Source organism: Homo sapiens, chromosome 1 (assembly GCF_000001405.40).
Source record: "Homo sapiens chromosome 1, GRCh38.p14 Primary Assembly".
Classification (NCBI taxonomy): Eukaryota; Metazoa; Chordata; class Mammalia; order Primates; family Hominidae; genus Homo; species Homo sapiens.
In genome coordinates, this window is record NC_000001.11 from 163,404,443 (window position 1) to 163,417,382 (window position 12,940).

The following is a 12,940-nucleotide window of genomic DNA, read 5'->3' on the forward strand; positions in this document are numbered from 1 at the left end:
GTGGAAGGTGTAAGGGTGATTTTCCCCTGCCCTTGCCCCTACTAGGGATCATTACAGGGACCTTCATCCTCTGGGAAAAACTCTGCTAAAGTAACCAGATCAGTCAACCAAAAGGAGGGCTTGCCCATTTAAAGACTGAAAATTCAGGAAAATCTTTTAGAAAAATATCACAGATCTCAGCAATCCACACATCATTTTCTTTGCCTAACATATTCACCAACCAATTCTGTCAAAACCTCTCAGTTTGAAAGAGATCAGTTCTGTGTTATACCCAACATTCCTGATGTCCTTGAGGCTCTGATTTGTAATAAAAAAGTGTAATATCACTCAGGGTTATCTGGATTCTGGGCAGAGAAAAGGACTCCTGCTGGGTGGCCCCCTTTTCTCTTTCCTTACATGTAAATTTTACCCACTTAGCCCCTCAATTGGAACAAGATGAGGATTTGTTTGGTTTGCAATTAACAGCTGAGTGAAACCTTCTAGAACTGCAGGCTTTGGGGACACACATTTCCCACCAGGCCTCCACTCCCTTTGTCCTTTCTGCTAAACACTGCTAACCCATACACCTGCTGAGAAATCAGACTCCCCATAAGGTCTATTTCAAAACCACGACCTAATTTGTTTTTGAACTTCAAAATGATAATATGTAATAGTAAAATGGATTTTTGTTTATAGAGAAGTATTTGAAGAGCCTAGGGACACATCCATGATAAAAGTGCACCGTTTGCTAATTAATACATGTCCCAATTTGAGCTCCAGCAGAGAATTTGTATATTTAGTCTGAAGAAAACTCATTTGCCAAAATCTGATCATTTATTCCAGAGTGCACTCACAGTGACTCCACAGTATTAGACTTGTGTAAAGCTGTTTACCACTCATAGATATTTAAGACTTTTAAAAAATATATACAGTAAATGCCTCATTATTGAGGGGGAAATAAAAACAATCAAATTTATGAAAGAACCACTAAACAGTGTCATACAGGTGGGACAGGACTGTAGAAAGGGCTGGGCAGCCGAAGAACACCCAGACTGTAGCTGCTGCTCTACCACTGACGAGCTGTGTGACCTTGGGCAAGTCCCACAGTAGTTTTGATTGTCTACTTCTGTAAAATTGATTAGTTCCACCAATTTGTCTCTGAGCTCTTTTCTAGTTCTAACAATCTAAAAAGTTTTTGGAAAGCTTTAAAAAACTAAAGCAATAGTATAATTGGACAGCAGAGTGGAAGGAGGCCTGATTGACTGGCTCCCCAGTTAGTCTATATTTGTGGAGTCATCGTGTATTAGAAGTTCATTTTCCTTTTTTGTTTCTCTGCCTTTCTCTCCCACCATCCCACTTTCACACAGAGTAGACCTGGTTGTAGGGACCTCTCGCTTGCTCCATTGTTCGTTTCAGTGGTCTGGAGAGTGGAGAAATCAGACACCAGGACTTGGGAATTAGAAGGAGTAGGATAAACATCAGACCTCATGGCCTGTTTCTGTCTGAAACTATTCATGGTAGGGGACTCAGGATGAAGTGCTGCTTGACTGACCACCCAGCCTTCATAGCATTGATTTTAGGAGCCAAACCCACTGATCCATAGTGCACTTTCTCTCAGGACCTCAGGGTGTGAGTGTCTCTGATTTTAGAAAGCAATGACATTCCTGAGGCCCCTGGCCCAGAACCATCTTAATTCTGTTCAGTCTTACCATGACTTTTAAGAGAAAGGAGTTAGTTGGAAGCACCAGACTGACTTAATTTCTGCCAAACTTGGGTTCAAATTTCCCGGGTTCACCTCACTGTGCCTTTAAAACCTAAGCAGGGAAAAAAGTCTAATTAGACTCCCAGCTTTCTTCACAGGGGCAGTCTAAAGCCTTTATCCATAAGTATGTCCTCCACGGACAAATACTGGGCCCCAAGGAAGGAGGAAGAACGTGTTTGTGGGCACGTCTGGCTCAGATTAAGCTGTAGGTAGTATGGGCCTTGGAGCAGCGGGAGGCACTCTGTGTTGGGTAGGTGTAGTTTTCCGACAGCATCAGCATGGTGATCTCCATTTCTCATCGAAATCCACCTTACCTGAAATAGGTCTGAATAGGTCCACTCTTCCAGCCTCTTCACTCCTGTGCTTGCCCTGTATCACCTGCTTCCTGCCTAGAATGAGAAACAGTGCTTCTGTTTTCCTTCCATCCACCAGGAGGGTTTGCCATAGAAATCATTTGAACCATTGGGAAACTCAGCCAAGTGGCACCACATGTGGCAGAATCTGTGCCTGTTTTTCTGCACAGTGGGGGTTTAAACTTTTAGGGGGACTCCTGCCTGAGGCCCAACTTTCTCCCTCATGAAGCTGATATTTGGCAGGGAGAAGCAAACAAACACTTAAATGGTCAACCAAATTTCAGCTTGTATTAATTATATAATTCAGAGATTTTTTTTTTTTGGCTTAAATATAGCATCATGAATACACAGCTGCAGAGACTGTGCCAAACAGCTCAGCCAGCTGTACACACTGCCATCAGCGGAAAACCGTTTTTCTTTTCTCCTGCTTGAGGTGTTATCATCGGGAGCCATGTGGATACTCCCTGGGCCAAGCAGCCGTCCCTTCAGCACCTTCACAAAAGCAGCCGTGGAGGATGGGCTCTGCCTGTGCAAGGCCTCCCTGTGGAAGCTGGGTGTGCAGGCCGGGGTTGGGGGCAGAAGAGGGGGAAGGGGGGCGTGTAGCAAAGTCTATTGTGTTGATCCCTCAGAGAGTAACTCTGAGAAATGAGATGCTATGTCCCTGGGCCAGGGCTACACCAAGAACATTATACCTGGGATAGACACTGTTTTTACATCCTAGTCAGAATCATGAAAAATGTGCTTCAGTTATGGCAGGACTCTGGCTGGGAACAAGTTCCCAGCTGCCTCTGTTGCTCTCCTGGAGAACTTTGAACTCCATAAAGGGAGGGGTCCAAGATATGTGCAATAGCCATAGAAAATATATTATAAACCTGAAATAATTAAAGAACAATACCAGGAAGTAAATGATCATACTATGCCTATACCTAAAACCCTCTGGGTTCCCTGTTGTGTAAAGAATGAATTTCCAATCTCATCACACAAGTATCTTCACCATAAGACCCCAACCCTTCTTTGTAGCCTTATCTCCTGTCTCCATACCCTGTATGCGATTCTCTGTCCACCAAAAATTACTTGCTACTTTCTAGACAAGACAAGCACTCAAATGCTTGTTTGTTTTCGTGTGCACGTTCCTCCCTCCCAGCAAGAATGCCTGATTCTTTCTTCTCCACTTCATGGACATCCACTCATCCTCCTGTTATGACTCCAATGTGATCTTCTCTTGCTCAGCCCTGACTGACTTCCCTGGACAGAGCTGGCCTCCCGCTCCTCTGAATCCCCCTGCACTGTCTCACTGTTTCACATCACTTTGCACATCCCCACCAAGGTGTTCTGCTGGCTTCTCTCCCAGTGGACTCTCAACTCTGCAGGAAGTAGGGACCACCTTGGAAAATGCCCAGCACCTAGGTCAGTGCTTGCCACAAGTAGGTGCTCAATGAATGTGGGTTGAGTTATTTGAAAAATGTTTTTTAGGTTTGGTGCAGTGGCTCACGCCTGTAATCCTAGCACTTTGGAAGACCAAGGCAAGAGGCTAGCTTGAGCTGGGGAGGTCTAGCTCAAGGGCAGGGCAAGGCTAGCCAGGGCAACAGAGTGAGACCTAACCTCTGATTTTGGAAAGCAATGACATTCTTGACATTCCTGAGTTCCTGACCTCACCTCTACAAAAAATAATAAAAAAAAACATTAAAAATAAAAGTTTTTAAAATGTAAAACTGTATACATGCTCAGCAGAAAAACTGAAACAATACAGAATGTATAACATAGAAAGTGAAAAGTTCCCTGGCATCCTTGTGCATTTATATGTCTAGGTGCACACACACTCTTACACACACACACGCACACACACGTGTGCACACACATGCACATGTGTACACACACGCACAAGTGCACACACGTGCATGCACACACACGCCCAGGTGCGCACACACCCACACGCACACACACAGCACGCACACGTGCGCGCACACGCGCACACACACGCACGCGCAGACCTGCACATGCACCCAGACGTGCACGCACATGCACACACCCACACACACGCACGCACACACGCACACACACGCTTTTTAAAAAACAGAAATGGCTCGGAAAGCGCATGTTGTTTTTAACTCTTGAAGTCATCAAGATGTTAGAAAAATCTTTCCATGTCAATACTTGCACGTGTGCATACTTCTTACCAAGCATATAGTATTCATTTTCATATTAATGAGGCTAAAACTGTAGCCACAATGTGTTCTAGAATCGCAAAGGGTCCAGAGGTCACCAGGGAATAGCCAGAGAAAACTCGAGAAGATGGGATTTGAGTTTGTCCCAGAAGGATGGTGAGAATATGGATTTTTGGAGAGGGGCAAGGTGTGAGTGGGGGCAAGTAGCTTCCCAAATGGAGGCAGTAAAGGGAAAGTCATGAGTAGTGCATTTGGGGTGGCAAGTAGATGGCAGCCCATGTTAGAAGGTTAGCAGTGAGCAGCAGTGAGATATCAGGTGTGAAGATAAATTGGGCATGAATTGAAGGGGATAAATTGGATGCTTGAGGGTTTGGATTTATCATGCAGATGATGGTGGTGGAATAAGGGATGGCCTGATGAAATAGTGAGTCAGGAATTTTGTTCCGTAGTTCTTGATGTGCAGTGTGGACTGGGAAAGAAGAAAATAGAGACAGAAAGCTCAGGCTGAAGCCTCTGGTGTTACTCAGCGGTGACAGGGAAGAGAGAAAGGGGAGGTCATGAATTTTTGTTGAACTCCAGCTCTGTGCCCTTACAGTGTAGACAACTCACCTTATTATGCCAGTCCCTCCTCCCACCGACACGGTGAGAAGGCTGTTACCAGTAACATCTTACAGATGAGGATGCAGAAGAGGCTCAGATCCCTGTGTATATGGCCTGAAGTCAATGGTTTTGAACTTGGAGTCCACATCTGTTTAGCTTCAAAGCTTGCGGTCTTTTCACTCTGCTATGCTGTCCTGTGGGCTGGTGAGGAACTGTGGAAAGCAGTGGAAGAGAAGAAGGGAGAGATGAGGATGATGGTATCAAAGTCGAGGGCATGTGGGGACTCACAAAAGGAGGATTTAGAGTGGCCCAAGGGTTCATGAGGGACCCATAGTGGAGACTCTTTGACTAAAACATTCTGCCTTTGAAATTCTCCTTACCAGGACTCTATATTTTGGTGTCATGCTTTTGAAAGCAGTGACTTCTGGAGGGAGTTTTATTGATCTAATCACTCAAGATACAGGCTCTCGAAAAATCTATTTTATACCCCCTGCCCTCTCCCACCCACCCAAATTATACTACATTTTCCTCTTTATGACACTCTCTATGAAAATTCCTCGCTTCTAGTGCCACAGACCGAAATACGACATTTGCTCTAACAGCATTTTACTTGAAATTGTGTTTGGCAAAATGTCTCTTTGCGGTGCCTGGAGTTATCCCGGTCTTTTGAGGAAGGCACGAGAATGACAGGCTCATGGACATGCATTCGGAAGTAGGAAATGGTTAGGGTCCTCCTCCCTGCTCCCTTAACCTGGAACAAAATCTCCAATAACATTTAAAGCCGAAGGATCATCTCCAGCACTTCATTTCACTGAACTTCTTTTGTTCAACTTTGCCTGCATCTAGCGTTCACACCTCTAGAGGGCACTGTTTGCCTTGAAATGAAAGTTCTTTAAGTTTCAATCACCTTTTCCCTCTGGGGTCTATTGTTTTTGCTCTACAGTACTTCGTTTTCTTCCAGAAGGGTTTTCTTTCCTTTTGTGCCCGTGTATTTGTGGGAGCGTGCGTTTCTCCTTTAAAAGTGAATTTAGTGCGTATGAACATGGCAGATAATTACTCTGACCAAAGCCTCTCATGTCTGGGCAGGTCTTTTGAAAGCTTTCTTCTCCCATACATTCTTCCGGTGCCCCTCAGTCTGACCCAGGGTGCACCTCCCCCAACCCCAATTATTTCAGTCTGGGGGTCACCGTCACAGCTCTGCCAATGCATCTCAATCCTGCCTCACAGCTGCCTGGGCTGCTTCAGCCAGGGCTCCCTACTCAGGGCAACTGAGCCTTGATTTATGACATCCCTTTCCACAGGTCATGGTCTCTCCTCAGGCAAGACTGCTGATCATGCCACATTTTCAGATTGGCTCTGCACTGCAAACTAATGTCTGGAAGGACAATAATTTGGCCCTGAAACCCATTTCAACTGTGACCTCCCTCATTCAGTCTGCTCTCTGAACATGAAGGACACCAGGGTGCCCCTTTATGCAGAGAAGGTGGGTGGGTAAGTATTGCTTCCTACTGCCTCTGTGAAATGTAGACACACACACGCACACACTCCTCAGGCCTCATGTCTGTGCAGTGTAGAAGCACTTCAGGAGCTCTGAGCCTAGTTGAGGGTCAGGGCCCACCTGAGCATCCCTATTCTTTCTCCACTCTGTTCCAAGGGCCTAGCAGTTCTCACTTTTCATGCTGCACACACAAGGGATGAAAGCATGTGTCCTCAGGGGTGGAAATTAACATCAGTGCGTGCTGGGGAGGGTGTAGTTCAGGACCAGAGAGGTGGATGGATGTGGAGGTACCAGGTGGAATTACCAGGCATTCCTCAGTGAGATAGAGGGGACCCATGGAATGGCTTTAGGAGGAGATGGAAATAACCATTAACTTGACTGTGATCTCATGTGGAGAGGGCTTCAGCAGCCATCAGTGAGGGCATCCTCTGAGCAACAGCATGTGAAGCTGCAGAATTTATTTTTGTGGACTTCTTTCACCTTCCTCTTGTTTTTCCTTCCCTCCACAATGTTCTCCTCTCTTCTGGGTACTCTGTCCCACTCTGCCAAGAGGAAGTCCTGTAATCATAGGATGCCAATGCTAGAAGGGATCACTTTGTCTAGACAAAGATCATTTTGTCTTAATATCTCCATTTTAGAGTTGAAGAATAGGAACTCATCCGCACTGAGGATGTAATGATGATAATTATAGTAATAATGTAGCTATGCTTTTTAATGCTCTGGACACAGTTTTAAATGTATGAATGCATTTAATCCTTAGGATAATCCTGATAATATTATGACATCGTTTCATAAATTTGAAAACTCATGTACAGAGCAGTTACTTTTTCTAAGTTAACAGAGTTAGTGAGTGGCAGAGCAGAGTCCAATCTAAGCTGTCAGGCTCTACATGTCATATTTAAGTATATATGCTCAAAAAGTGCATGATTCATTGATTGTGTACTATGTGTCAGGTACTTTACATGTATTATCTAAAATTTTTGTTAAAACTGTGCTGTAAATCTAATATTCCCATTATATAGATAAATAATTTAATTCTTAGAAATATTAAATAACTTGCCGCTAGCCATATAGCCCATAGGTGGCCAAGCTGGGATTTGAACTGGGTGTGTTAGGCTCCAAAGTCTGGGTTTGTTTCCTTTATTACATGGTTCACTCAAGTGACTTAATGCTATTCCAGGAATATTTGCATGTTAAGAACAAGACAGGAGGAAAAGACTACACTTAACCAGGAACATTATTCTGGGCTAGAGATTGCAGAAATAAAGGAGTTAGGGAACATTAAACCATGTTGGTACTTTGTAAAACATACAAACATCCTTAGACACGTGTCTGCTCAGCACTGCTTTGCAGAGGAAACACAGAGTGTTGGGGAGCACACTGGACATACAGGCAGAAAAGCTGGGTTTGGCAAAGCGCTCCACCAGCTGTGGGCAATTTTGTACCACTATACTTAACTCCTATGGGACTCAACTTCCTCATCTGTAAAATGGAAATGATAAGGCCAGCTCTAACATTTTCATAATAATATTGTAAATTATAAAGCCAATACATACTATTTATTTCTATTTCTTGTGAACTGGGAATTGAGACCTACAGCCCACAAGAGGTCAGCAGTCTCCCCTCTACTCAATGTGAGGAGGAGGAGGATTGAAGGTCAGGACAATGCGGAGAGTCTTTTTTTTTTGGCCATAATGGGCAGCCAGTTGACTCAGGCCTTATGAGTGGGCTGGCTAGGGCAGACATTATCTGCTGTCATCCAAGCACTCCTCTCCAGCTTTAGAACAGAACAGCACAGGAGTCATTGCTTTGCCCCAACTCTGGACAAGGAGGAAGGAGGAGAAGATGGCCCATTAGGTGATAAAGGGAGACTATGGGAGGCATGCACCCCTCTACCTTCCAGAAATGAAAACATACGCCTTGAAACAAGATATAATAAGATTATCCATGTATTGTAACACATAAATTAGAATTTTTGTTTGTTCTGTAACAGTCCAAAAAGTGCAGTTTTAAAATCAAGATCAGAGGCCAGGCACAGTGGCTCAAGCCTGTTATCCCAGCACTTTGGGAGGACAAAGTGGGAGGATTTCTTGAACCTGGGAGTTTGAGACCAGCCTGGGCAGCATGGCAAAACCCTGTCTCTACCAAAAATTCAAAAATTAGCTGGGTGTAGTGGTGTGCACGTGTAGTCCCAGCTACTCAGGAGGCTGAGGTGGGAGGATGGTTTCAGTCTGGGAGGCAGAGGTTGCAGTGAGCCGAGACTGCGACACTGCACTCCAGCCTGGGTGACAGAGCCAGACCCTGTCTCAAAACAAACAAACAAACAAACGAACAAACAAACGAACAAATCAAGATCAGGAGAAGCACAACAAGCTAAGATCTCTCCATTGTAATTCAGCTGATAAAGATACATTTATTGGGTCATTATTACACAGTTGTGTTACTTTTAAATGAGAAACACATTTAGAAATTGTTTCTAGAAACTCATAGAGAAACCTGAAATTTCTTGTAAAGCTTCTTGCTTGCTTGTGGAAGGTTCTCTTGCTAACATATCCCTGGAAACTGTATCCTTGACAAGTGCTCAGTCACGATGTGTGTGGAGTGGGGAAGGTGGGGAGACAGGAGCTAAGCTGAATGCATACTGCGGCAGGGGTGGGGCAGGTAAATGAAGTACTACATGTCGACTTGCTTGGAAAACTATAAATCTCTGATACTGTTATTAAAATGTAGAAATTCTTTACTTGAGTGGGAGTGGTAGAGAGATTTCCTTGCCCAGCTCTGAATCCATTCCATCAATATGCATTTGTAGAGGATCAAGGAATGAAAGAATGTTCTTCCTCTCTATAGCCACTACATTTCCTGGAGCCCAGCAAGGTGTCCGTCACAGGAGGCCATCCAAATTTGTTGAATGCATGTGCTTAGGAAGTATCTTGTCATCACTTTCTCAGATATACAAATAAGAAACCCTTTTTACCCTCTACTCTTCATCATGACATCAGGAAGTAATAACTAAACAAAGTGGTCTCACCTAGCCATGACACTCTGTGTGTGTGTAGATAGGGCAGAAATACACAACATACTCCCTGGCTCTAAACCAGCCTCTATCTTGAATTTGTACTGTGTCTTTGGCAACACTTGAGTGTGTTTCCATCTTTAAAAACATCAGAGATCACATGTCTTGATTTTTTTAAAAAAATTAGCTAGACTTGAGTTTGAAGAAGGACATTGAATAACGGATACCTCACATTAAGAATGATTAGGTTTAGTCTCAGATCTTTCCCAAGTAATTCTATCTTTTTTGACCCTTGTAACAAGGCAAAAATAAGACAAAATCAAAACGAAACAGGCAATAGGAGACGATATAAGTACCACTGAGGACAAGCATACATTCTCCATGTTTTCCCACCTAAATGCCTTTACTCATGCCGTGATGTCTGTCTGGGGCACCATTCTCTTATCTTTCGTTGGGTGAAATTCTCTATATTCAGAAGGACCAGCACCACATGTGGCACCTCTGCCAAGAAACTAGGCTTGACTCATTATGTCTTTTCTTCCCCCTAAACTGTTGCATTTGGCTGTGTCTTTTTTATGATGTTTACCACATACTTGTGTAGGTTTAGTGTTTTGGGCACATATCCTATATATCCTGATAAATTGTAATTTTTTTTAAGCAATAGGCATATTTTCTTGATTTTTCTCTTTATTTTCATACTTCATACACTGAAAATGCTAAATTGAATGTTGTTGAATACATAAATTAATGGAAGAGTAGAGGCTGGGCATGGTGGCTTTTGCCTGTAATCCAGGCAGGAAAGTAGCTTGAGTCCAGGAGTTTGAGACCAGCTTGAGCAACATAGTGAGACCCCCCATCTCTACAAAAAATAAAAAATTTTGTTGGGCTTGGTGGTGCATGCCTTTAGTCCCAGCTACTTGGGATGCTGAGGTAGAAGAATAGCTTGACCTTGGGAGGTTGAGGCTGCAGTGAGCTGTGATCGTGCCTGCACTCCAGACTGGGCAACCAAGCAAGACCCTGTCTCGAAAACACATACACACATATATACATGCATAATTTTTTAAAAAAGAAAATAGGAATGCTAGATCAGGTGGTGTATAAACATGAACAGCTTTCTCTCTGAGCTGATATGTAAAGTTGAGGTAGAATGCTTCACTGAGCACCAGGCAAAATGAAACTGAATGTTCTTCAGCCACTCAAGGCAAGCTGTGAACTTCCCATTATCCTCTCTAAAGCCCAACTATCTGCTTATATATGCCTGTCCTCTCTTGCTAGTTAAGGAAATCTCTCCACCAATTCTCCCTTTTCTCTTCTACAGCATCAAATTTCCCCTTTTTTACTAGACAATTACCGTTCACATACAAGCATGCTATAATTTTCCCCATGTTTTTTAAAAAAGGAGAAAAAAAGAAAGCTTCCTGAGCCACTATTTCTCTCCAGTTACTGTCTCATATCTCTGTTGCCCATGACCACAAAACTTGCTGAAATGTTTCTCTCTACCCCCATTATCGATACATTGTACTTCTTTTACACCAGCTCCAATCAGGCATTTGCCTCCACTTCTTTACCAAAGTGCTGTTGCTAAGCTCACCCATGACCTCCCTGTTGTGAAGTTCAGTGGTCCATTCCTAGCCCTCATCTCTCTTTCTCCACCAGCAGCATTTGGCACAGATGATCAGTCTCATTACTTTACTTGGCTTCTGCAGTGCCATACTCCTAATTTACTGGTTTACTTCCTAATTCATTGACAATTCCTTCTTTTGTACCCTTTGCCGATTCTCCCTCATAGATCCTTAAACTCTAGTATGACTCTGTGGCATAATGCTCAGACTTCTTTTCTTCTCTATCTCTTATCACTTGCTGTGTGGTGCCTCCAGCCTCATGACTTTAAACATCATCTATGCTAAGGATTACCAAATACATCATTCTGATCTTGACTTCTCCCCTGAGTCCAGCTGCCTAGTCATCGTTTAATCTTGGATGTTTTGAGATGTCTTTAGGCATTTCAAACTTAACATGTCTCAAACCTCACTGTTGATCATGATCATTCCTTCACACTTGTTTATTTTCCCTTGTTTTTCCCATTTTAATAACCAGTAATTTCATTCTTATGTTTTCTAAGAGTAAAAACTTTAGTGCCATTGTTGAATTTTAATAAATATCTCATAACAAATTCACCATCCAATCTTACCAGCTCTACCTTCTAAGTTTACACAGACTCTAGCCTTTGCTCCTCACCTTTATGTTGATCCTCCTGGTTTAAGGACACCCTAATTTATGGCCTCGTTGCTTTTACCCTTGACCCCCGCTATACTCTGTTCTCTGGCTAGCCACCAGAAGTATCCTTTTAAAAGCACAAATCAGATCTTATAATTCTTCTGTCAGTGGTTTTTCATCTCAGAATAAAAGCCAATGTTCTTATAATAACCTATCAAGCGGCCAGCCACATTAACCCTCTTATGGTTTCTCCAGGGGACCAGAATAGTCCTGCTGCAAGGCCTTTGTACCTGCTGTTCCCTCTGCCTGGAATGAACTTTCTCTGGGTTTCCACGCAGCTCACTCATTCACTTCTGTCAGGTCTCGTTGCAAATGTCATCTTATCAAGGACACTGTTCCTAAACACTCTGTTTAAAATAGTACTTCCTCTGCCTCTTTCTCTGATTTTATTTTCCCTGCTACCATATATTATCACCTGACATCCTATGTATTTTACATATTAACTGTTTATTGCCTGTTTACCCATTGCTAGAATCTAAATCTTTTAAAAGTGAAATTGTCTTTTTTTCCTCACTGTCTCGTCCTTAGTGCCTACATACAGTGCCTGCCATAAAGATGGTGCTGAAGAAATATTCGTTGGTGTTTAATAAACAAAGCAACAATACTAATCAATTTCTACAATTTTTAAGTCTCATACCTTTTTCTTTAGGGATGTGGGAGACAGTGGTCATGAAGGGAGAGGCTTATTAAAAAGTTGACAATGGGGCCGGGCGCGGTGGCTCACGCCTGTAATCCCAGCACTTTGGGAAGCTGAGGCAGGCGGATCATGAAGTCAGGAGATGGAGACCATCCTGGCTAACACGGTAAAACCCCGTCCCTACTAAAAATACAAAAGATTAGCCGGGCATGGTGGCGGGCGCCTGTAGTCCCAGCTACTTGGGAAGCTGAGGCAGGAGAATGGCGTCAACCCGGGAGGCGGAGTTTGCCGTGAGCCAAGATCGCACCACTGCACTCCAGCCTGGGCGACAGAGCGAGACTCCGTATCAAAAAAAAAAAAAAAAAAAAAAAAGTTGACAATGGGCTGGGAGAGAGAGAGAGAGGAGAATTAAGTAAAATTCCACAAAAAGAATCATCATGCATGGTTCTAAAGTAACAGAAAGAATTCTTTTTCAAGACTTGGTATCTCACTTCTCACAGGTTTGCTCTACTCTAAATAACATGCCTAAACACTAGGGACCCATCTTCCACATCAGAATAATATGATTCTGCCAGTGTGTGGGATTTGGGAACTAGTGGGGAACAATTCATTTTCGGAAGAGAAGATGATCAATACATTGAGACATTAAAGCAAAT

At 43.3% G+C, this 12,940-nt stretch overlaps 1 annotated feature.

The window, feature by feature from the left end:
- Positions 10,298 to 10,421: a silencer, noted in NCBI's record as "fragment chr1:163384530-163384653 (GRCh37/hg19 assembly coordinates)". NCBI's record gives its function as "represses an EF-1alpha promoter that drives an FKBP-Casp9 reporter gene in an ReSE screen in K562 erythroleukemia cells {active_cell/tissue: K562}" and the evidence as "EXISTENCE:reporter gene assay evidence [ECO:0000049][PMID:32094911]".